At 41.7% G+C, this 22,859-nt stretch overlaps 1 long non-coding RNA gene across 3 annotated transcripts in view, besides 19 other annotated features; it reads left to right on the forward strand.

The window, feature by feature from the left end:
* Nucleotides 395-968: an enhancer, noted in NCBI's record as "OCT4-NANOG-H3K27ac-H3K4me1 hESC enhancer chr4:49142489-49143062 (GRCh37/hg19 assembly coordinates)". NCBI's record gives its function as "activates a minimal SCP1, AML or CMV promoter by ChIP-STARR-seq in primed H9 embryonic stem cells {active_cell/tissue: H9 hESC(primed)}" and the evidence as "EXISTENCE:reporter gene assay evidence [ECO:0000049][PMID:30033119]".
* Nucleotides 969-1,542: an enhancer, noted in NCBI's record as "OCT4-NANOG-H3K27ac hESC enhancer chr4:49143063-49143636 (GRCh37/hg19 assembly coordinates)". NCBI's record gives its function as "activates a minimal SCP1, AML or CMV promoter by ChIP-STARR-seq in primed H9 embryonic stem cells {active_cell/tissue: H9 hESC(primed)}" and the evidence as "EXISTENCE:reporter gene assay evidence [ECO:0000049][PMID:30033119]".
* Nucleotides 1,543-2,116: an enhancer, noted in NCBI's record as "OCT4-NANOG-H3K27ac hESC enhancer chr4:49143637-49144210 (GRCh37/hg19 assembly coordinates)". NCBI's record gives its function as "activates a minimal SCP1, AML or CMV promoter by ChIP-STARR-seq in primed H9 embryonic stem cells {active_cell/tissue: H9 hESC(primed)}" and the evidence as "EXISTENCE:reporter gene assay evidence [ECO:0000049][PMID:30033119]".
* Nucleotides 2,691-3,263: an enhancer, noted in NCBI's record as "OCT4-NANOG hESC enhancer chr4:49144785-49145357 (GRCh37/hg19 assembly coordinates)". NCBI's record gives its function as "activates a minimal SCP1, AML or CMV promoter by ChIP-STARR-seq in naive H9 embryonic stem cells {active_cell/tissue: H9 hESC(naive)}" and the evidence as "EXISTENCE:reporter gene assay evidence [ECO:0000049][PMID:30033119]".
* Nucleotides 3,350-4,188: an enhancer, noted in NCBI's record as "OCT4-NANOG-H3K27ac-H3K4me1 hESC enhancer chr4:49145444-49146282 (GRCh37/hg19 assembly coordinates)". NCBI's record gives its function as "activates a minimal SCP1, AML or CMV promoter by ChIP-STARR-seq in naive H9 embryonic stem cells {active_cell/tissue: H9 hESC(naive)}" and the evidence as "EXISTENCE:reporter gene assay evidence [ECO:0000049][PMID:30033119]".
* Nucleotides 4,189-5,025: an enhancer, noted in NCBI's record as "OCT4-NANOG-H3K27ac-H3K4me1 hESC enhancer chr4:49146283-49147119 (GRCh37/hg19 assembly coordinates)". NCBI's record gives its function as "activates a minimal SCP1, AML or CMV promoter by ChIP-STARR-seq in naive H9 embryonic stem cells {active_cell/tissue: H9 hESC(naive)}" and the evidence as "EXISTENCE:reporter gene assay evidence [ECO:0000049][PMID:30033119]".
* Nucleotides 5,026-5,863: an enhancer, noted in NCBI's record as "OCT4-NANOG-H3K27ac-H3K4me1 hESC enhancer chr4:49147120-49147957 (GRCh37/hg19 assembly coordinates)". NCBI's record gives its function as "activates a minimal SCP1, AML or CMV promoter by ChIP-STARR-seq in naive H9 embryonic stem cells {active_cell/tissue: H9 hESC(naive)}" and the evidence as "EXISTENCE:reporter gene assay evidence [ECO:0000049][PMID:30033119]".
* Nucleotides 5,864-6,700: an enhancer, noted in NCBI's record as "OCT4-NANOG-H3K4me1 hESC enhancer chr4:49147958-49148794 (GRCh37/hg19 assembly coordinates)". NCBI's record gives its function as "activates a minimal SCP1, AML or CMV promoter by ChIP-STARR-seq in naive H9 embryonic stem cells {active_cell/tissue: H9 hESC(naive)}" and the evidence as "EXISTENCE:reporter gene assay evidence [ECO:0000049][PMID:30033119]".
* Nucleotides 6,701-7,538: an enhancer, noted in NCBI's record as "OCT4-NANOG-H3K27ac-H3K4me1 hESC enhancer chr4:49148795-49149632 (GRCh37/hg19 assembly coordinates)". NCBI's record gives its function as "activates a minimal SCP1, AML or CMV promoter by ChIP-STARR-seq in naive and primed H9 embryonic stem cells {active_cell/tissue: H9 hESC(naive and primed)}" and the evidence as "EXISTENCE:reporter gene assay evidence [ECO:0000049][PMID:30033119]".
* Nucleotides 7,539-8,376: an enhancer, noted in NCBI's record as "OCT4-NANOG-H3K27ac-H3K4me1 hESC enhancer chr4:49149633-49150470 (GRCh37/hg19 assembly coordinates)". NCBI's record gives its function as "activates a minimal SCP1, AML or CMV promoter by ChIP-STARR-seq in naive and primed H9 embryonic stem cells {active_cell/tissue: H9 hESC(naive and primed)}" and the evidence as "EXISTENCE:reporter gene assay evidence [ECO:0000049][PMID:30033119]".
* Nucleotides 8,377-9,214: an enhancer, noted in NCBI's record as "OCT4-NANOG-H3K27ac-H3K4me1 hESC enhancer chr4:49150471-49151308 (GRCh37/hg19 assembly coordinates)". NCBI's record gives its function as "activates a minimal SCP1, AML or CMV promoter by ChIP-STARR-seq in naive and primed H9 embryonic stem cells {active_cell/tissue: H9 hESC(naive and primed)}" and the evidence as "EXISTENCE:reporter gene assay evidence [ECO:0000049][PMID:30033119]".
* Nucleotides 9,215-10,050: an enhancer, noted in NCBI's record as "OCT4-NANOG-H3K27ac-H3K4me1 hESC enhancer chr4:49151309-49152144 (GRCh37/hg19 assembly coordinates)". NCBI's record gives its function as "activates a minimal SCP1, AML or CMV promoter by ChIP-STARR-seq in naive and primed H9 embryonic stem cells {active_cell/tissue: H9 hESC(naive and primed)}" and the evidence as "EXISTENCE:reporter gene assay evidence [ECO:0000049][PMID:30033119]".
* Nucleotides 10,161-10,787: an enhancer, noted in NCBI's record as "OCT4-NANOG-H3K4me1 hESC enhancer chr4:49152255-49152881 (GRCh37/hg19 assembly coordinates)". NCBI's record gives its function as "activates a minimal SCP1, AML or CMV promoter by ChIP-STARR-seq in naive and primed H9 embryonic stem cells {active_cell/tissue: H9 hESC(naive and primed)}" and the evidence as "EXISTENCE:reporter gene assay evidence [ECO:0000049][PMID:30033119]".
* Nucleotides 10,788-11,413: an enhancer, noted in NCBI's record as "OCT4-NANOG-H3K4me1 hESC enhancer chr4:49152882-49153507 (GRCh37/hg19 assembly coordinates)". NCBI's record gives its function as "activates a minimal SCP1, AML or CMV promoter by ChIP-STARR-seq in naive and primed H9 embryonic stem cells {active_cell/tissue: H9 hESC(naive and primed)}" and the evidence as "EXISTENCE:reporter gene assay evidence [ECO:0000049][PMID:30033119]".
* Nucleotides 11,599-12,116: an enhancer, noted in NCBI's record as "OCT4-NANOG hESC enhancer chr4:49153693-49154210 (GRCh37/hg19 assembly coordinates)". NCBI's record gives its function as "activates a minimal SCP1, AML or CMV promoter by ChIP-STARR-seq in primed H9 embryonic stem cells {active_cell/tissue: H9 hESC(primed)}" and the evidence as "EXISTENCE:reporter gene assay evidence [ECO:0000049][PMID:30033119]".
* Nucleotides 12,711-13,700: an enhancer, noted in NCBI's record as "OCT4-NANOG-H3K27ac-H3K4me1 hESC enhancer chr4:49154805-49155794 (GRCh37/hg19 assembly coordinates)". NCBI's record gives its function as "activates a minimal SCP1, AML or CMV promoter by ChIP-STARR-seq in naive and primed H9 embryonic stem cells {active_cell/tissue: H9 hESC(naive and primed)}" and the evidence as "EXISTENCE:reporter gene assay evidence [ECO:0000049][PMID:30033119]".
* Nucleotides 13,701-14,689: an enhancer, noted in NCBI's record as "OCT4-NANOG-H3K27ac-H3K4me1 hESC enhancer chr4:49155795-49156783 (GRCh37/hg19 assembly coordinates)". NCBI's record gives its function as "activates a minimal SCP1, AML or CMV promoter by ChIP-STARR-seq in naive and primed H9 embryonic stem cells {active_cell/tissue: H9 hESC(naive and primed)}" and the evidence as "EXISTENCE:reporter gene assay evidence [ECO:0000049][PMID:30033119]".
* Nucleotides 14,690-15,678: an enhancer, noted in NCBI's record as "OCT4-NANOG-H3K27ac-H3K4me1 hESC enhancer chr4:49156784-49157772 (GRCh37/hg19 assembly coordinates)". NCBI's record gives its function as "activates a minimal SCP1, AML or CMV promoter by ChIP-STARR-seq in naive and primed H9 embryonic stem cells {active_cell/tissue: H9 hESC(naive and primed)}" and the evidence as "EXISTENCE:reporter gene assay evidence [ECO:0000049][PMID:30033119]".
* Nucleotides 15,679-16,667: an enhancer, noted in NCBI's record as "OCT4-NANOG hESC enhancer chr4:49157773-49158761 (GRCh37/hg19 assembly coordinates)". NCBI's record gives its function as "activates a minimal SCP1, AML or CMV promoter by ChIP-STARR-seq in naive and primed H9 embryonic stem cells {active_cell/tissue: H9 hESC(naive and primed)}" and the evidence as "EXISTENCE:reporter gene assay evidence [ECO:0000049][PMID:30033119]".
* LOC101927209 (uncharacterized) overlaps nt 21,193-22,859 on the forward strand; it is a 46,966-nt gene continuing 45,299 nt past the window's right edge. The window contains exon 1 of one of the 3 annotated variants that reach the window (XR_007058113.1): nt 21,193-21,280. This is a non-coding gene — a long non-coding RNA (uncharacterized LOC101927209). Of the gene's footprint in view, nt 22,004-22,859 lie in introns of all 3 variants that reach the window. The other 2 variants (XR_007058112.1, XR_007058114.1) reach the window with 2 other exon arrangements.

Here is a 22,859-nt window from a genome sequence, read left to right on the forward strand (position 1 = left end):
CCATTATATTCAAATCCTTTCCATTCCATGCCATTCCACTCGGTTTGTTTCCATTTTGTTGTATTCCATTCCATTCCATCCCATTCCATTCCATTCCATTTCATTCCATTCCACTCGGGTTGTTTCCATTCCGTTCCATTAGTTTCCATTCCATTCCTTTCCATTCCATTCCACTCATGGTGATTCCTTTCCTTTCCATTCTAATTCATTCCATTCCAGTTGATACCATTGCATTGCATTGTTTCCATTCCATTCCATTCCATTCCATTCCATTCCATTCCACTCGGTTTGATTCATTTCCATTCCATTCCTTTCCATTCCTCTCGTGTTGATTCCATTCCATTCCATGCCCTTTTATTCCATTCCATTCCATTCCATTCCATTCCATTCCATTCCATTCCATTCCATTCCATACCTTTCCACCAAAGTTGATTGCATGCTATTCCATTCCATTCCATTCCATTCCGTTCCGTTCCGTTCCGTTCCGTTCCGTTCCATTCCATTCCATTCCATTCCATTGCATTCCACTGGGGTTGATTCCATTCCATTCCATTCCATTCCATTCCATTCCATTCCATTCCATTCCATTCCATTCCATACCTTTCCACCAAAGTTGATTGCATGCTATTCCATTCCATTCCATTCCATTCCATTCCATTCCATTCCATTCCATTCCATTCCGTTCCTTTCCTCTTGGGTTGATTCCATTCCATTCAATTCCGTTCCATTCCGTTCCGTTCCGTTCCATTCCATTCCATTCCATTGCATTCCACTGGGGTTGATTCCATTCCATTCCATTCCATTCCATTCCATTCCATTCCATTCCATTCCATTCCATTCCCTTCGGGTTGATTCCTTTCCATTCCATTCCATTCTATACCATTCCACTTCATTCCGTTCCATTCCATTCGGGTTGATTCTGTTCCATTCCATGCCCTTTTATTCCATTCCATTCCATTCCATACCATTCCAAAAAGTTGATTGCATGTTATTCCATTCCATTCCATTCCATTCCTTTCCGCTCGGGTTGATTCCACTCCATTCAATTCCGTTCCATTCCGTTCCGTTCCTTTCCGTTCCATTCCATTGCGTTTCATTCCATTGCATTCCACTAGGGTTGATTCCATTCCTTTGCATTCCATTCAATTCCATTCCATACCCTTCGGTTTGATTCGTTTGCATTCCATTCCATTCCATACCATTCCACTCCATTCCGCTCCATTCCATTCTGTTTGATTCCGTTCCATTCCATGCCCTTTTATTCCATTCCAATCCATTCCATTCCATACCATTCCACCAAAGTTGATTGCATGTTCCATTCCATTCCATTCCATTCCTTTCCATTCCATTCCATTCCATTCCATTCCATTCCATTCCATTCCATTCCATTCCATTCCATTCCTTTCCACTCGGGTTGTTTCCATTCCATTCAATTCCATTCCGTTCCGTTCCGTTCCGTTCCATTCCCTTCCATTTCATTCCATTGCATTCCACTCGGGTTGATTCCATTCCTTTCCATTCCATTCCATTCCATATCATTCCACTCCATTCCGCTCCATTCTATTCGGGTTGATTCCGTTCTATTCCATCCCCCTTTATTCCATTCCATTCCATTCTATTCCATTCCATTCCATACCATTCCACCAAAGTTGATTGCATGTTATTCCATTCCATTCCATTCCATTTCATTCAATTCCATTCCATTCCATTCCTTTCCACTCGGGTTGATTCCATTCCATTCCATTCTGTTCCGTTCCATTCCATTCCATTCCATTCCATTTCATTCCATTGCATTCCACTCGGGTTGATTTCATTCCATTCCATTCCATTCCATTCCATTCCATTCCATTCCATTCCATTCCCTTCGCGTTGATTCCTTTCCATTCCATTCCATTCCATACCATTCCACTCCATTCCATTCCATTCCATTCGGGTTGATTCCATTCCATTCCGGTCCGTTCAATTCCATTCCATACCATTCCACTAGGGTTGATTCCATGCCATTCCATTCCATTGCATTCCATTCCATTCCATTCCACTCGGGTTGATTCCATTCCATTCCATTCTATTCCATTCCATTCTATTCCATTCCATTCCATTCCACTCGGGTTGATTCCATTCCATTCCATTCCATTCCATTCCATTCCATTCCACTCCATTCCATTCCATTCCTCTCCGGTTATTCCATTCCATTCCACTCGGGTTGTTTCCATTCCATTCCATTCCATTTTATTCCATTCCATTCCGTTTCATTACATTCCATTCTATACCATTCCACTCGGGTTGATTCCATACCATTCTATTCCATTCCATTCCAGTAAATTCCATTCCATTCCATTCCACTCGGGTAGATTCCATTCCATTCCATTCCATTCCATTCCATTCCATTCCATTCCATTCCATTCCATTAGTTTCTAATCGGGTTGATTCCAATCCATTCCATTATATTCAAATCCTTTCCATTCCATGCCATTCCACTCGGTTTGTTTCCATTTTGTTGTATTCCATTCCATTCCATCCCATTCCATTCCATTCCATTTCATTCCATTCCACTCGGGTTGTTTCCATTCCGTTCCATTAGTTTCCATTCCATTCCTTTCCATTCCATTCCACTCATGGTGATTCCTTTCCTTTCCATTCTAATTCATTCCATTCCAGTTGATACCATTGCATTGCATTGTTTCCATTCCATTCCATTCCATTCCATTCCATTCCATTCCATTCCACTCGGTTTGATTCATTTCCATTCCATTCCTTTCCATTCCTCTCGTGTTGATTCCATTCCATTCCATGCCCTTTTATTCCATTCCATTCCATTCCATTCCATTCCATTCCATTCCATTCCATTCCATACCTTTCCACCAAAGTTGATTGCATGCTATTCCATTTCATTCCATTCCATACCATTCCATTCCATTCCGTTCCTTTTATCTTGGGTTGATTCCATTCCATTCAATTCCTTTCCGTTCCGTTCCGTTCCATTCCATTCCATTCCATTCCATTCCATTGCATTCCACTGGGGTTGATTCCATTCCATTCCATTCCATTCCATTCCATTCCATTCCATACCCTTCGGGTTGATTCCTTTCCAATCCATTCCATTCTATACCATTCCACTTCATTCCGTTCCATTCCTTTCGGGTTGATTCTGTTCCATTCCATGCCCTTTTATTCCATTCCATTCCATTCCATACCATTCCACCAAAGTTGATTGCATGTTATTCCATTCCATTCCATTCCATTCCATTCCTTTCCACTCGGGTTGATTCCACTCCATTCAATTCCGTTCCGTTCCGTTCCTTTCCGTTCCATTCCATTGCGTTTCATTCCATTGCATTCCACTAGGGTTGATTCCATTCCTTTCCATTCCATTCCATTCCATTCCATACCCTTCGGTTTGATTCCTTTCCATTCCATTCCATTCCATACCATTCCACTCCATTCCGCTCCATTCCATTCGGTTTAATTCCGTTCCATTCCATGCCCTTTTATTCCATTCCATTCCATTCCATTCCATACCATTCCACCAAAGTTGATTGCATGTTCCATTCCATTCCATTCCATTCCATTCCATTCCATTCCATTCCATTCCATTCCATTCCATTCAATTCCATTCCATTCCATTCCATTCCTTTCCACTCGGGTTGTTTCCATTCCATTCAATTCCATTCCGTTCCGTTCCGTTCCGTTCCAGTCCATTCCATTTCATTCCATTGCATTCCACTCGGGTTGATTCCATTCCTTTCCATTCCATTCCATTCCATATCATTCCACTCCATTCCGCTCCATTCTATTCGGGTTGATTCCGTTCTATTCCATCCCCCTTTATTCCATTCCATTCCATTCTATTCCATTCCATTCCATACCATTCCACCAAAGTTGATTGCATGTTATTCCATTCCATTCCATTCCATTCCATTCCATTCCATTCCATTCCATTCCATTCAATTCCATTCCATTCCATTCCTTTCCACTCGGGTTGATTCCATTCCATTCCATTCTGTTCCGTTCCGTTCCGTTACATTCCATTCCATTTCATTCCATTGCATTCCACTCGGGTTGATTTCATTCCATTCCATTCCATTCCATTCCATTCCATTCCATTCCATTCCATACCCTTCGCGTTGATTCCTTTCCATTCCATTCCATTCCATACCATTCCACTCCATTCCATTCCATTCCATTCGGGTTGATTCCATTCCATTCCGGTCCGTTCCGTTCCATTCCATACCATTCCACTAGGGTTGTTTCCATGCCATTCCATTCCATTGCATTCCATTCCATTCCATTCCACTCGTGTTGATTCCATTCCATTCCATTCCATTCCATTCCATTCCACTCCATTCCATTACATTCCATTCTACTCTGGTTAATTCCGTTCCATTCCCTTCCAATCCATTCCATTCCATTCCATTCCATTCCATTCCATTCCATTCCATTCCATTCCATTCCATTGGGGTCCATTCCATTTCATTCCATTCTGTTCCGTTCCGTTCCATTCCATTCCATTCCATTCCATTCCATTCCATTCCATTGCATTCCATACCATTCCATTCCATTCTATTCCATTCCATTCCATTCCATTCCACTCGAGTTGATTCCATTCCATTCCATTCCATTCCGTTCTGTTGCATTCCATTCCGTTCCATTCCATTCCATTCCATTCCACTCGAGTTGATTCCATTCCATTCCATTCCATTCCGTTCCGTTGCATTCCATTCCGTTCCATTGCTTTACATTCCATTCCATTCCATTCCATTCCATTCCATTCCATTCCATTCCATTCCAACCTTCTAATCGGGTTGATTCTAATCCATTCCATTTCCATTCCATTCGAGGTTGATTCCATTCCATTCCGGTCCGTTCCGTTCCATTCCATACCATTCCACTAGGGTTGTTTCCATGCCATTCCATTCCATTGCATTCCATTCCATTCCATTCCACTCGTGTTGATTCCATTCCATTCCATTCCATTCCATTCCATTCCACTCCATTCCATTACATTCCATTCTACTCTGGTTAATTCCGTTCCATTCCCTTCCAATCCATTCCATTCCATTCCATTCCATTCCATTCCATTCCATTCCATTCCATTCCATTCCATTCCAACCTTCTAATCGGGTTGATTCTAATCCATTCCATTACATTCAAGTCTTTCCATTCCATGCCATTCCTCTTGTGTTGTTTCCATTCCATTGAATTCCATTCCATTCCATTCCATTCCATTCCATTCCATTCCATTCCATTCCATTCCATTCCACTCGGGTTGTTTCCATTCCATTTCATTAGTTTCCATTCCATTCCATTCCATTCCATTTTATTCCATTCCATTTCATTCCATTACATTCCATTCTATACCATTCCACTCGGGTTGATTCTATACCATTCTATTCCATTCCATTCTATACCATTCCACTCGGGTTGATTCCATACCATTCTATTCCATTCCATTCCATTAAATTCCATTCCATTCCATTCCACTCGTGTAGATTCCATTCCATTCCATTCCATTACGTTCCGTTCCGTTCCATTCCATTCCATTCCATTCCATTCCATTCCATTCCATTCCATTCCATTAAATTCCATTCCATTCCATTCCATTCCTCTCGGGTCGATTCCATTCCATTCCATTCCATTCCATTCCATTAGTTTCTAATCGGGTTGATTCCAATCCATTCCATTATATTCAAATCCTTTCCATTCCATGCCATTCCACTCGGGTTGTTTCCATTTTGTTGTATTCCATTCCATTCCATTCCATTCCATTCCATTCCATTCCATTGTATTCCATTCCACTCGGGTTGTTTCCATTCCGTTTCATTAGTTTCCATTCCATTCCATTCCTTTCCATTCCATTCCACTCATGGTGATTCCATTCCTTTCCATTCCAATTCATTCCATTCCAGTTGATACCATTGCATTGCATTGTTTTCATTCCATTCCATTCCATTCCATTCCTCTTGGTTTGATTCATTTCCATTCCATTCCATTCCATTCCTCTCGGGTTGATTCCATTCCATTCCATGCCCTTTTATTCCATTCCATTCCATTCCATTCCATTCCATTCCATTCCATTCCATACCATTCCATTCCATTCCATTCCATTCCATACCATTCCACCAAGTTGATTGCATGCTATCCCATTCCATTCCATTCCATTCCATTCCATTTCATTCCATTCCATTCCGTTCCTTTCCACTTGGGTTGATTACATTCCATTCCATTCAATTCCGTTCCGTTCTGTTCCATTTTGTTCCATTCCATTCCATTCCATTTCCTTCCATTGCATTCCACTGGGGTTGATTCCATTCCATTCCATTCCATTCCATTCCATTCCATTCCATTCCATTCCATACCCTTCGGGTTGATTCCTTTCCATTCCATTCCATTGCATACCATTCCACTCCATTCCGTTCCATTCCATTCGGGTTGATTCTGTTCCATTCCATGCTTTTATTCCATTCCAATCCATTCCATACCATTCCACCAAAGTTGATTGCATGTTATTCCATTCTATTCCATTCCATTCCATTCCATTCCATTCCATTCCATTCCATTCCATTCCATTCCATTCTATTCCATTCCATTCCTTTCCTTTCCAGTCGGTTTGATTCCATTCCATTCAATTCCATTCCGTTCCGTTCCATTCCTTTCCGTTCCATTCCATTGCGTTTCATTCCATTGCATTCCACTCGGGTTGATTCCATTTCTTTCCATTCCATTCCATTCCATTCAATTCCATAGCCTTCAGGTTGATTCCTTTCCATTCCATTCCATTCCATACCATTCCACTCCATTCCGCTCCAATCCATTCGGGTTGATTCCGTTCTGTTCCATGTCCTTTTATTCCATTCCCTTCCATTCCATTCCATTCCATTCCATACCATTCCACCAAAGTTGATTGCATGTTATTCCATTCTATTCCATTCCATTCGATTCAATTCCATTCCATTCCATTCCATTCCATCCCTTTCCGCTCGGGTTGTTTCCATGCCATTCAATTCCATTCCGTTCCGTTCCGTTCCATTCCATTCCATTCCATTCCATTCCATACCCTTCGGGTTGATTCCTTTCCATTCCATTCCATTCCATCCCATTCCACTCCATTCCGTTCTATTCCATTTAGGTTGATTCCATTTCTTTCCATTCCGTTCCATTGCATTCCATACCTTTCCACTAGGGTTGATCCCATACCATTCCATTCCATTGCATTCCATTCCATTCCATTCCATTCCACTCGGGTTGATTCCATTCCATTCCATTCCAATCCATTCCATTCCATTCCATTCGGGTTGATTCCATTCCATTCCTTTCCATTCCATTCCATTCCATTCCATTCCATTCCATTCCATTCCATTCCATTCGAGTTGATTCCATTCTATTCCATTCCATTCCATTCCATTGGGGTTGATTCCATTCCATTCCATTCCATTCCATTCCATTCCATTCCATTCCATTCGACTCGGGTTGATTCCAATCCATTCCATTCCAATCCATTCCATTCCATTCCATTCCATTCCATTCCATTCCATTCCATTCCATTCTGGTTGATTCCATTCCGTTGAATTTCTTTCCATTCCAATCCATTCCATACCATTCGATTCCATTCCATTCCATTCCATTCCATTCTATTCCACTCGAGTTAATTCCATTCCTTTGAATTCCATTGCTTTCCATTCCATTCCATTCCTTTCCACTCAGGTTGATTCCATTCCATTCCATTCCAATGCATTCCATTCCAGTTGATACCATTGCATTGCATTGTTTCCATTCCGTTCCATTCCATTCCATTACATTACATTACATTCCACTCGGTTTTATTCATTTCCGTTCCATTCAATTCCATTCCATTCCATTCCATTCCATTCCATTCCTCTTGGGTTGATTCCATTCCAATCCATGCCCCTTTATTCCATTCCATTCCATTCCATTCCATTCCATTCCATTCCATACCATTCCACCAAAGTTGACTGCATGCTATTCCATTCCATTCCATTCTATTCCATTCCATTCCATTCCATTCCATTCCATTCCATTCCATTCCTTTCCACTCGGGTTGATTACATTCCATTCAATTCCGTTCCATTCCGTTCCGTTCCGTTCCATTCCATTCCATTCCATTTTATTCCATTGCATTCCACTCAGGTTGATTCCATTCCATTCCATTCCATTCCATTCCATTCCATTCCATAACCTTCGGATTGATTCCTTTCCATTCCGTTCCATTCCATAGATTCCACTCCATTCCGTTCCATTTCATTCGAGTTGATTCTGTTCCATTCCATGCCCTTTTATTCCATTCCATTCCATTCCATTCCATTGCGTTCCATTCCATTCCTTACCATTCCACCAAAGTTGATTGCATGTTATTCCATTCCATTCCATTCCATTCCATTCCTTTCCACTCGTTTTGATTCCATTCCATTCAATTCCGTTCCGTTCCGTTCCGTTCGTTTCCATTCCATTCCATTTCATTCCATTGCATTCCACTCGGGTTGATTCCATTCCTTTCAATTCCATTCCATTCCATTCCATTCAATTCCATACCCTTTGGTTTGATTCCTTTCCATTCCATTACATTCCATATCATTCCACTCCATTCCGCTCCATTCCATTCGGGTTGATTCCGTTCCATTCCATGCCCTTTTATTCCATTCCATTCCATTCTATTCCATTCCATTCCATACCATTCCACCAAAGTTGATTGTATGTTATTCCATTCCATTCCATTCCATTCCATTCCATTCCATTCAATTCCATTCCATTCCATTCAATTCCATTCCATTCCATTCCTTTCCACTCGGGTTGTTTCCATTCCATTCAATTCCGTTCCATTCCATTCCGTTCCATTCCATTCCATTCCGTTTCATTCCATTGCATTCCACTCGGGTTGATTTCATTCCATTCCATTCCATTCCATTCCATTCCATTCCATTCCCTTCGGTTTGATTCCTTTCCATTCCATTCCATTCCATACCATTCCACTCCATTCCTTTCCATTCCATTCGGGTTGATTCCCTTCCATTCCGTTCCGTTCCATTCCATTCCACACCATTCCACTAGGGTTGATTCCATGCCATTCCATTCCATTGCATTCCATTCCATTCCATTCCACTCGCGTTGATTCCATTCCATTCCATTCCAATCCATTCCATTCCACTCCTTTCCATTCCTTTCCATTCGGGTTGATTCCATTCCATTCCGTTCCATTCCATTCCATTCCATACCATTCCACTAGGGTTGATACCATGCCATTCCATTCCATTCCATTCCATTCCATTCCACTCGGGTTGATTACATTCCATTCCATTCCAATCCATTCCATTCCATTCCATTCCATTCCATTCCATTCCATTCCATTCCATTCCATTCCATTCCATTCCACTCGGGTTGATTCCATTCCATTCCATTCCATTCCATTCCATTCCATTCCATTCCATTCCATTCCATTCCACTCCATTCCGTTACATTCCATTCTACTCTGTTTAATTCCGTTCCATTCCATTCCAATCCATTCCATTCCATTCCATTCCATTCCATTCCATTCCATTGGGGTCCATTCCATTCCATTCCATTCCATTCCATTCCATTCCGTTCCGTTCCGTTCCATTCCATTCAAATCCATTCCATTGCATTCCATACCATTCCATTCCATTCTATTCCATTCCATTCCATTCCATTGCACTCGAGTTGATTCCATTCCATTCCATTCCATTCCGTTCCGTTCCATTCCATTCCGTTCCATTCTATTCCATTCCATTCCATTCCATTCCATTAAATTCCATTCCATTCCATTGCATTCCATTACTTTCTAATCGGGTTGATTCTAATCCATTCCATTACATTCAAGTCTTTCCATTCCATGCCATTCCTCTTTGGTTGTTTCCATTACGTTGAATTCCATTCCATTCCATTCCATTCCATTCCATTCCATTCCATTCCATTCCATTCCATTGCATTCCATTCCACTCGGGTCGTTTCCATTCCATTTCATTAGTTTCCATTCCATTCCATTCCATTCCATTTCACTCAAGTTGATTCCGTTCCATTCCATTGTATTCCATTCCAGTTGATTCCATTGCATTCCATTCCTTTCCATTCCTATCTATTCCATTACATTCCCTTACACTTGGGTTGATTCCATTCCATTTCAATCCATTCCATTCCATTCCCTTCCGTTCCATTCCATAGCATTCCACTAAATTTGATTCCATACCATTCCATTGCATTTCATTCCTTTCCTTTCCATTCCAATCCATTCCATTCCATTCCATTTAAATCCTTTCCATTCCTTTCCATTTCATTCCATTCCATTCCTTTCCTCTCGGGTTGATTCCATTCCATTCCTTTCCATTCTGTTCCATTCCATTCCGTTCCATTCCATTCCATTCCATTCCATTCCATTCCATTCCATTCCATTGCATTCCACTCGGGGTGATTCCATTCCATTCCATTCCATTCCATTCCATTCCATTCCATTCCATTCCATTCCATTCCATTTCATTCCATTCCATTGCATTCCATTTGGGTTCATACCTTTCCATTCCATTCCATTGCATTCCATTTGGGTTCATACCTTTCCATTCCATTCCATTCCATACCATTCCATTCCATTCCATTCCATTCCATTCAGGTTGACTCCATTCCATTCCGTTCCATTCCATTACATTCCATTCCATTCCGTTGCATTCCACTCCATTCCTATTCATTACATTCCACTCGGGTTGAATCCATTCCATTCCATTCCAATGCATTCCATTTTTTTCAGTTCCACTCGGATTCAATCAATTCCATTCCATTCCATTCCGTTCTGTTCCATTCCATTCCATTCCATTCCATTCCATTCCATTCCATTCTATTGCATTTCATTCCATTCCATTCTACTCAGGTTGATTCCATTCCATTCCATTCCATTCCATTCCATTCCATTCCATTCCATTCCACTCGGGTTGATTCAATTCCGTTCCTTTCCATTCCATTCCATTCTATTCCTTTCCACTCAGGGTGATTCCATTCCATTCCATTCCAATGCATTCCATTCCAGTTGATACCATTGCATTGCATTGTTTCCATTCCATTCCATTCCATTCCATTCAATTCCATTCTACTCGGTTTGATTCATTTCCATTCCATTCCATTCCATTCCTCTCGGGTTGATTCCATTCCATTCCATGCCCTTTTATTCCATTCCATTCCATTCCATTCCATTCCATTCCATTCCATTCCATTCCATTCCATACTATTCCACCAAAGTTGACTGCATGCTATTCCATTCCATTCCATTCCGTTCCATTCCATTTCATTCCGTTCCTTTCCACTTGGGTTGATTCAATTCCATTCAATTCCGTTCCGTTCCGTTCCGTTCCATTCCATTCCATTCCATTCCATTTCCTTCCATTGCATTCCACTGGGGTTGATTCCATTCCTTTCCATTCCTTTCCATTCCATTCCATTCCATTCCATTCCATACCCTTCGGGTTGATTCCTTTCCATTCCATTCCATTCCATACCATTCCCGTCCATTCTGTTCCATTCCATTCGGGTTGATTCTGTTCCATTCCATGCCTTTTTATTCCATTCCATTCCATTCCATATCATTCCACCAAAGTTGATTGAATGTTATTCCATTCCATTCCATACCATTCCACCAAAGTTGATTGCATGTTATTCCATTCCATTCCATTCCATTCCACCCATTCCATTCCTTTCCACTCGGGTTGATTCCATTCCATTCAATTCCGTTCCGTTCTGTTCCATTCCTTTCCGTTCCATTCCATTCCGTTTCATTCCATTGCATTCCACTCGGGTTGATTCCATTACTTTCCATTCCATTCCACTACATTCAATTCCATACCCTTCGGGTTGATTCCTTTCCATTCCATTCCATTCCATTCCATTCCATACCATTCCACTCCATTCCGCTCCATTCCATTCGGGTTGATTCCGTTCCATTCCATGCCCTTTTATTCCATTCCATTCCATTCCGTTCCATTCCACTCCATTCCATTCCATACCATTCCACCAAATTTGATTGCATGTTATTCCATTCCATTCCATTCCATTCCATTCCATTCCATTCCATTCCATTCCACTCGGTTTGATTCTTTTCCATTCCATTCCATTCCATTCCTCTCGGGTTGATTCCATTCCATTCCATGCCCTTTTATTCCATTCCATTCCATTTCATTCCATTCCATTCCATTCCATACCATTCCACCAAAGTTGACTGCATGCTATTCCATTCCATTCCATTCCATTCCATTCCATTCCATTCCATTCCATTCCATTCCATTCCGTTCCTTTCCACTTGGGTTGATTCCATTCTATTCAATTCCGTTCCGTTCCGTTCCATTCCATTCCATTCCATTCCATTCCATTTCCTTCCATTGCATTCCACTGGGGTTGATTCCATTCCCTTCCATTCCATTCCATTCCATTCCATTCCATTCCATTCCATACCCTTCGGGTTGATTCCTTTCCATTCCATTCCATTCCATACCATTCCACTCCATTCTGTTCCATTCCATTCAGGTTGATTCTGTTCCATTCCATACCCTTTTATTCCATTCCATTCCATTCCATACCATTCCACCAAGTTGATTGCATGTTATTCCATTCCATTCCATCCATTCCATTCCTTTCCACTCGGGTTGATTCCATTCCATTCAATTATGTTCCGTTCCGTTCCTTTCCGTTCCATTCCATTCCGTTTCATTCCGTTGCATTCCACTCGGGTTGATTCCATTACTTTCCATTCCATTCCATTCCATTCAATTCCATACCCTTCGGGTTGATTCCTTTCCATTCCATTCCATTCCATACGATTCCACTCCATTCCACTCCATTCCATTCGGGTTGATTCCGTTCCATTCCATGCCATTTTATTCCATTCCATTCCATTCCGTTCCATTCCACTCCATTCCATTCCATTCCATACCATTCCACCAAAGTTGATTGCATGTTATTCCATTCCATTCCATTCCATTCCATTCCATTCCATTCCATTCCATTCAATTCAATTCCATTCCTTTCCATTCCATTCCTTTCCACTCGGGTTGTTTCCATTCCATTCAATTCCGTTCCGTTCCATTCCGTTCCGTTCCATTCCATTCCATTCATTCCATTGCATTCCACTCGGGTTGATTCCATTCCATTGCATTCCATTCCATTCCATTGCATTCCATTCCATTCCATTCCATTCCATTCCATACCCTTCGGGTTGATTCCTTTCTATTCCATTCCATTCCATACCATTCCACTCCATTCCGTTCTATTCCATTCGGGTTGATTCCATTCCATTCCGTTCCGTTCCATTTCATTCCATACCATTCCACTATGGTTGATCCCATACCATTCCATTCCATTGCATTCCATTCCATTCCATTCCACTCGGGTTGATTCCATTCCATTCCATTCCAATCCGTTCCATTCCATTCCATTCCATTCCTTTCCATTTGATTCCATTCCATTCAATTCCATTCCATTCCATTCGGGTTGATTCCATTCCATTCCTTTCCATTCCATTCCATTCCATTCCATTCCATTCCATTCCATTCCACTCCAATTGATTCCATTCCATTCCATTCCATTCCATTCCATTCCATTCCATTCATTCCATTCCAGTTGATTCCATTCGATTCCATTCCATTCCATTCCATTCCATTCCATTCCATTCCATTCCATTCCATTCCATTCCATTCGACTCGGGTTGATTCCAATCCATTCCATTCCAATCCATTCCATGCCATTCCATTCCATTCCATTCCATTCTGGTTGATTCCATTCCGTAGAATTTCTTTCCATTCCAATCCATTCCATTCCGTTCCATTCCATTCCATTCCATTCTATTCCACTCGAGTTAATTCCATTCCTTTGAATTCCATTGCTTTCCATTCCATTCCATTCCATTCCTTTTCATTCTATTACACTCGGTTGTTTCCATTCCATTCATTTCTTTTCCATTCCATTCCATTCCTTTCCATTCCAGTCATGTTGATTCCATTCATTCCATTCCCTTACATTACGTTCCATTCCATTCCAGTTGATTCCATTGCATTCCATTCCATTCCATTCCATTCTACTCCTTTCCATTCCACTCTGGTTGATTCCATTCCATTCCATTCCATTCCATTCCACTCCATTCCGTTCCACTCGGGTTGATTCCATTCCATTCCATTCCATTCCATTCCATTGCATTCCATTCCATTTCACTCGGGTTGATGCCATTCTATTCCAATCTATTTTATTCCTTTCCATTCCATTCCATTCCATTCCATACCATTCCACTCGGGTGGATTCCATAACATTCCATTCTATTCCATTGCATTCCTTTCCATTCCATTCCACTTGTGTTGATTCCATTCCATTCCATTCCATTCCATTCCATTCCATTCCATTCCATTCCATTCCATTCCATTCCATTCGGGTTGATTCCATTCCATTCCATTCCATTTCATTCCATTCCATTCCATTCCATTACACTCCATTCCATTCCATTCCACTCCATTCCATTCCATTCCATTCCATTCCACTCCATTCCATTCCATTCCATTCCACCCAGATTGATTCCATTCTATTCCATTCCATTCCGTTCCATTCCATTCCAGTTGATTCCAATGCCTTCCATTCCATTCCATTCCACTGCATTCCATTCCACTCCATTCCACTCGGGTTGATTCCATTCCATTCCATTCCATTCCGTTCCACTCGGGTTGATTCCATTCCATTCCTTTCCATTGCATTTCACTCGGGTTGATTCCATTCCATTCCGTTCCATTTTATTCCATTCCATTCCATTCCATACCTTTCCATTCCACACGGGTTAATTCCATTCCATTCCATTCCATTGCATTCCATTCCATTCCATTCCATTCCATTCAATTGCATTCCATTCCATTCCATTCCATTCCATTCGGGTTGATCCCTTTCCATTCCATTCCATCCCATTCCATTCCACTCCATTCCATTCCTTTCAATTCATTTACATTCCATTCCACTCCATTCCATTCCATTGAATTCCTTTCCGTACCACTCCATTCTATTCCATTCTATTCCACTCGGGTTTATTCCATTCCATTCCAATCCATTCCATTCCATTGCATTCCACTCGTGTTCATTCCATTCCATTCCATTCTATCCCGTTCCTTTCCATTCTATTCCATTCCATTCCATTCCCTTACACTGGTGTTCATTCCATTCCGTTCCGTTCCATTCCATTCTATTCATTTCCATTCCTTTCCATTGCACTCCACTCGGGTTGATTCCATTCCTTTCCATTCTATTCCATTCCATTCATTTAAATTCCATTCCATTCCATTCCATTCCAGTTCATTCCATTCCTTTCCATTCCATTCCATTCCCTTCCATTCCATTCCATTCCCTTCCATTCCATTCCATTCAATTCCATTCCGTTGCATTGGAATCGGGTTGATTCCAATCCATTCCATTACATTCCAGTCTTTTCCATTCCATTCCATTCCACTCTGTTTGTTTCCATTACGTTGAATTGCATTCCGTTCCATTCCATTCCATTCCATTGAAATTCATTGCATTCCATTCCACTTGGTTTGTTTCCTTTCCATTCCATTAGTTTCCAATAAATTCCCTTGTATTCATTCCATTCCATTCCATTCCATTCCACTCATGTTGATTCTGTTCCATTCCATTCCATTCCATTCCATTCCATTCCATTCCATTCCATTCCATTCCATTCTAGTTGATTCCATTGCATTCCGTGCTGTTCCATTCCATTCCACTCCATTCGAATCCATTCCACTTGGGTTGATTCCATTCCATTACATTACATTCAATTCAATTCCATTCAATTCCATTCCATTGCATTCCACTCGGGTTGATTCCATTCCATTCCATTGCATTCCATTCCATTCCATTTCCTTTCATTCCAGTTGATTCCATTCCATTCCATTCCATTCCATTCCATTCCATTCCATTCCATTCCATTCCATTCTGTTCCACTAGGGTTGATTTCATTCGATTCCGTTCCATTCCTGTTTTCCCTTCCATTCCATTCCATTGCATTCCACTCGGGTTGACTCCATTCCATGACATTGCATTCCATTCCTTTCTATTAAATTCCATTCTTTTCCATTCCATTCCTTTCCACTCGAGTTGATTCCATTCCATTCTATTCCATTCCGTACAATTCCATTCCATTCCATTTCAATCGGGTTGATTCCATTCCATTCAATTCTATTCCATTCCTTTCCATTCCATGCCTCTCAGGTTAATTCTATTCCATTCCATTCCATTGCTTTCCCTTCCATTCCATTCCACTCGGGTGATTCCATTCCATTCCATTCCACTCGGGATAACTCCATTCCATTCCAATCCATTCCTCTCGGGTTGATTCCATTCCATTCCATTCCATTCCATTCCAATCCATTCCATTCCATTCCATTCCATTCCATTCCATTCCATTCCATTCCGTTCCATTCCATTTCTTTCCATTTGATTCCATTCCATTGAATTCCATTCCATTCCTTTCCATTCCAATCCTTTCCACTCGGGTTGATTCCATTCCGTTGCATTCCATTCTTATGGTTTTATATAAATTTTAGGATTTTTTTTCTATTTCTGTGAAGTGTGTTATTAGTATTTCAATAAGGATTGCATTGAATCTGTAGATTGCTTTGTGAAGTATGGGTATTTTAATAATATTTACTCTTCCAATAAATGAACATGGGCAATCTTTCCATTTTTTTTGTGTCCTCTTTAATTTTTTTGCATCAATATTTTATACTTTTCATTGTAGAGATCTTTCACTTCTTCTGTTATGTTTATTCCCAGTTATTTTATTTTATTTGTAGCTATTGTAAATGGGTTTACATTCTTGATTTTCTTCTTTAGATTGTTCATTTTTGTCATTTAGAAATGCTACTCACTTTTGTAGCTTGATTTTGTATGTTGTGACTCTGAATTTGTTGATCAGTTCTAATAGTTTTTTGGTGGAGTCCTTAGGTTTTTCCAAATATAAGATCAAGTCATCTGCAAACAATAAAACATTAATAATTTTACTTCTTTCCAATGTGCATCCCTTTTATTGTTTTTCTCTTGTCTGAATTGCTCTAGCTAGGACTTCCAGTACTGTGTTGAGTAACAGTGTTGGAAGTGGACATTCTTGTCTTGTTCCAGATCTTAGAAGAAAGGCTTTCAGCTTTTCCCTGTTCAGGATGATACTGGCTGTGGGTCTGCTGCATTTGGTTTTTATTGTGTTGTGGTATGTTCCTTCTATATCTAGTTTTTTTTGAGGGTTTCTTTTTATCACAGGGATGTTGAATTTTATTAAATGCTTTTCATTATCAATTGAAATTATCATATGGTTTTTGTCCTTCATTCTGTTGATATGATGTGTCACATTGAGTGATTTGCATATGTTGAACCATGTTGGCATCATCGGGATAAATCCCACTTAGACGTGATGAATGGTCTTTTTCATAGGATGAGTTTGGAATACTACAGCCTTCTCTGTTTTTTGGAATAGTTTGGGTAGGATTGATAGTAATTCTGCCTTCAATGTTTGGTAAAATTAATCCATGAAGCCAGTGAAGCCATTGAATCCAGGCTTTTCTTTGCTAGGAGATGTTTTATTATGGCTTCAATTTCATTTATCCATTTCTTCTAGGTTTTTTTTTTTGAGATGGAATCTTGCTCTGTCACCCAGGCTGCTTCGTGGTACAATCTCAGCTCACTGCAGCCTCTGCCTCCCAGGTTCAAGTGATTTTCCTGCCTCAGCCTCTGGAGTAGCTGGAAGTACAGGTGCATGCCACCATACCTGGCTAATTTTTGTATTTGTAGTAGAGATGGGGTTTCACCATGTTGGCCAGGCTGGTCTTGAACTCCTGACCTCAGGTGATCACCTGCCTTGGCTTCCCAAAGTGTTGGGATTACAGGCATGAGCCACGGTGCCCAGCCATTTCTTCCAGGTTTTTCAATTTATTGGAATATAGTCGGTCATAATAGTTTCTAACGATTCTTTGAATTTCCACAGTATCAGTTATAGTGTCTCCTTTTCAATCTCTGGTTTTATGTATTGGAATCTTCTCTCTTTTTTCTTAGTCTGGTTAAATGTTTGTTGATTTTGTTGGTCTTTTAAAAATATTAACTTTTCATTTCATTGATATTTTATATTGCTAAATTTCAATTTCATTTATTTCTGCTCCGACCTTTGCTATGCTTCCTTCTACTAATTTTGGTTTTGGTTTGTTCTTGCTTTTCTAATTATTTAAGATGCATTATTAGGTTGTTTATTTGAAGCTTTTCTACTTTTTTTGATGTAGGTGCTTTTTTCTATAAACTTACCTCTTAGTACTGTAGTACTGTTTTTACTGTATCCCATAGGTTTTTTTTTTTTTTGAAATGGAGTCTCGCTCTGTTTCCCAGGCTGGAGTGCAGTGACGCGATCTTGGCTCACTGCAAGCTCCGCCTCCTGGGTTCACGCCATTCTCGTGCCTCAGCCTCCCAAGTAGCTGGGACTACAGGCGCCCGCCTTCACGCCCGGCTAATTTTTTTTTTTTGCATTTTTAGTAGAGATGGGGTTTCACCGTGTTAGCCAGGATGGACTCAATCTCCTGACCCTATCATCCGCCCGCCTTGGCCTCCCAAAGTGCTGGGATTACAGGCATGAGCCACTGCGCCCGGCCTCTACCCTAGGTTTTGGTTTGACTTTAAACTTTTTCTTTTCTTGAAAACTCAGTGTCATGGTACCGGCTTCTTGTGCTTTGGGCAGTGAGACCCTTTTACTTGATAACAATGGTAGCTGGGACAATTTGGCAATGTAAATAAATAAACAGCATCTAGATTGGAAAAGAAGAAGTACAGTTATCTTTATGTACAGATGACATGATCTTGCATTTAGAAAATCGTAAGAAATTTACTAAAAAGTATTAGGACTCATGAACAAATTTAAGAATGTAACACTGTATAAGATTGGTATACAAAAATAACTGTATTTCTTTACCAAGAAATCAAGAATCCAAAAATGGAATTACAAAAATAAATCTTGTTACAATAGAATTAAAGCTGGGGAAGCTTAAACTTGAACACTAAAAACTACAATACATGGTTAGCGTTGGAAACACCCAGATACCATCCCTGAGCCTTCTCTCCTTGGCTCTGAGGGCTTTACCTTCACGGGGTGAGGAAAGGGGTTGCATTCTTGGCTTTTACATTATATTAGGTGGGTTCGGGTTGAGGTATCTGCAATTCAAATGAGTATTACAATCTCTACTTTTATGGATAAGAGACTGAGGCCCACCAAGAGAGGGAATGACAGTCCATATCCTGGAAGGTGAATTGTCAGGCACTGATTTCCGCTATTTAACCCCTGCCAATCATCAAGTATTTAAAGGATCCCCGGATACCATACCAATAGGTGTTCAAGAGAGAGGCCTGTAATCTAGGCGTCTGAGAAAACAAGGCTATAGATTCCAATATTAGAGACAACAGGGCTCTGGGAAGATTAAGGTTGAGTTTTCTGGATCTGCAGAATAGAGTCACTGAGGACCAATTGCAAGATCAGAGGAGATGAAAGAACAAGTCAGGGCATGCTTAGGAAAAGAGAATACCAGGGATAGGTTTTAGGCAAGAGTCACACTGAGGAAGGGCAGGTTCTTGGCGTCGCTCAGGAAGAAATCCAAAAGCAAGCCTCTGGTGGAAGAAAGCAGCTCTACGGAGGCATTGGCGGTGTTACAACCCTGCATCCACTCCGGCAGGGCAGGGAGCCCTCCGTGGGTTGTGCTCCCAGAGCAGCAGCCTAGGGGTGGCTTGTAGTCACTTTTATAATTCACTTTTAATGGCATGCTAATTAAGGGGCGGGTTATTCAGAGATAGCTAGAAATGGGCAGTAACTTCCATCTGTTTCCATGGCAAGGGGTGGGGACTTCTCGTGATGACATGGCATTGGCAAACTGTCATGGCACTGGAGGGAGCGTCTTCTGGTGATCTGAGGTGTGAGGTGCTTTCGCTGCCTCTCCCAGTTTCCTGCGTGCCTCTTACCTGAAAGCCTATCAACACCCCCATCTGCCCACCTACAAACGTCACTGCCCTTTCACCCCACCCCCGTTTCACACGCACTCCCACATCAACCCTGAGCATTCAAGCCTGCGTTTCCCTGTTAGGAACATCGGTGGTAGCCAGAGCTCTGAGAAACCCCTATGCAGAACTCCTTGCCTAGTTTGTGGCAGAAATCAGGGAAGGAAAGGCAAATTTCAGGTCTTTCTCACAATAAATAAATAAAGATAGGTAGATTTGATTGATGGATGGATGGATGAAACGTGGGAGTCTACGGGCAAATATTTATCAGACACTGGAAGTGAAAGTTGTCACAAAGATTATGGAGTGCACCTGTCTTATGACCCTGTTATTTTATCCTAGTATATGCACTAGAGCATATTTTCTAACTGTGTAAATTGAAGGCTCACAAATTAGTTTAGTGAGAGAAAAGATAACAGATTGGAAGAGAATTACCATATTCATTAGTTGTGTTTTTAAAATTTTAAAGTAAAATAGAGACATGATTTTTTTCATGCTTTCGAATGCATCTATAAAAAATAGACTTGAGGGCTGGGCGCAGTGGCTCACACTTGTAATCGCAGCACCTTGGGAGGCCGAGGAGGGCGGATCACGAGGTCAGGAGTTGGAGACCAGCCTGACCAACATGGTGAAAACCCGTCTCTACTAAAAATACAAAAATTAGGCGAGTGTGGTGGCGCGCGCCTGTAATCCCAGGTACTTAGGAGGCTGAGGCAGGAGAATCACTTGAACCCGGGAAGCGGAGGTTGCAGTGAGCCAAGATCGCACCATTGCATTCCAGCCTGGGCGACAGAGTGAGACTCTGTCTCAAAAAAAAAAAAAAAGTTACTGATTAATAGCATAGACCAATTGGCCTCTATTGAAATTTCTTCATTATTTTCACAATGTCCCAGGCTGTGAAACCAGTATTTAATAAAGAACCAGAATGCCACATCTGTGTCAACTGGGTAGGGACCAGTCCTGATACATTAAGTCCGGGTCTCTGGGTAACTGGACTCAACTGCTGGGCAAAACAGAATGTCCGGTGTGGGTTCCTAAAGGAGGACCGCAAAGCCTCATGGGAATTGTAGTGTCACCTTCCAATGACGTTACCATCAAGGACCTTGGGAACCAGCTTTTCTCTCTGCGGATGCGCCGCCCGGCCCACTCCGCCATTTTCCTCCGGAAGTGTGGCACCCAGAGGCGGTCCTGTAGCTGGGCCGGCTTGGGGCTTGGTTCTATGTCCCTGTGGGTTGGTGCAAGGGCCAGGAGGAACCCGTGAGCCTCAGGGGATCCCAGGGGGCCGGACCAGTGTTCCCTAGTTGTGGGAACAGACGCGTGGGCGCATCGCGGGAGGGCAGGGCCTGAAGAGCAGGTGCGGGCTGCGGACCCTGGCGGGGGCTGGGAGGACAGGCGTGGGGTCCCAGCAGTGACGCGGGTTCTAGAGGCACAGGAGCGGGTAGGAGAGGCCGGTGGCCCTGGGCCCGGAGTCTGCAGGCTGCGCTCCTGTCCTGCCGCTGAGGGACCCGGTTACCAACCCGCATGACGCTCAGTTTGCCCATCTGTCCCAGTGCTAACACACAGTTCTCGGGAGACGTTCCCCATTCCCAGAGGAGTAGTGTGAAACGCGTGCGCCTCTAGTCTTAAACTTGACGTTTGTATTAGTTGGGTTTCCTGGTGTCTCTTTAGCAAGTGAAGTTTCTGGTTCCCTCCTTCACTGTGTGACCTGCCTAGTCCTCCTGGGTCGCATTTACAGAAGTTTATACGAGACCTAGTTTCCAGGGAAGAACTCACTGATTCCGCGAGGGAGATGGCGTAATAGATGATGGTCGTCAGCCTTAAGGGTACTTCAGTCTTAACTGTGTGTTAGAAAGTTTGAAAGGGAGGGTTCCCTATGAATAAGAAGCACACTTGAAAGAACAGCCGTCTGGTCTAACCTCTCACTGGTGCTTCAGAGGAGGAAAAAAGGTCACAGGTGAAGATCCCAGTTTTCCTTGCTCAGGAAATATTAATTCTACTCCCTAGAATGCACAAGATTTGCAAAGACTAGGTGATAGTAGAAGGTTTGGACGAACTTTCAGAAGGTTGAGGTGAATTCAGCTGAGAAAAACAGGCAAGGACTTAGGAAATATTCCTTATTTGAAGGGGTCTGAAAGTGTGGTCTGTGGTACAGGAGTGACCTGTCATACTTGAGAGGATTAAAATACTCTCCACAGTCCCATTCCTTCAATCTTAGCTCGTTTTTTCGCGTCTGAGATATATTAAACCTAGTCCATCACCAAATTTAGCATTAGATTGAGAAGTTCTATTGATTGTATTTGATTTGTAATTTAAGATTTTCTCCCCCTACATAATTTTGTTAAAAACACAGAAGTGAATTCTGTTCACTTAGGTGTAACAGTTAATACTTGCTGTTTAAGGAACTAATTAAACCTTACTGGCTTATAAAAAACAACCACCATTTTATTTGTTTGAAGTTCTGTGGATCTGCATTTTGGTGTGGTGGATTCACCTGGGTAGTTGATATATTTGTGTTGCCTGGATCACAAAAAGGCCTTAGTCACCTGGTGCCTTGACTGAGCCTGGTTGGTTTAAGATAGTTTCCTTCACAATCTGGTGGTTTGTGGTGACTCTTGGCTAGGCCCTGTGTCTCCAACAGGGTAGCTCCAGACCTCTTCACAATTTCTCCCAAAAAGGGAAGAACCAATGGATATTTGCATCACATTTTCCATTGTCCATTCACTGGACAAGTCAGATGGAAAAGCCCAATTTATTGTCAGAGCATAATATGAGGGCTTGGATAGAAGGAAAAGTGTTATTGGGAAACATGA

This window comes from Homo sapiens, chromosome 4 (assembly GCF_000001405.40).
Source record: "Homo sapiens chromosome 4, GRCh38.p14 Primary Assembly".
NCBI classification, from domain to species: domain Eukaryota; kingdom Metazoa; phylum Chordata; class Mammalia; order Primates; family Hominidae; genus Homo; species Homo sapiens.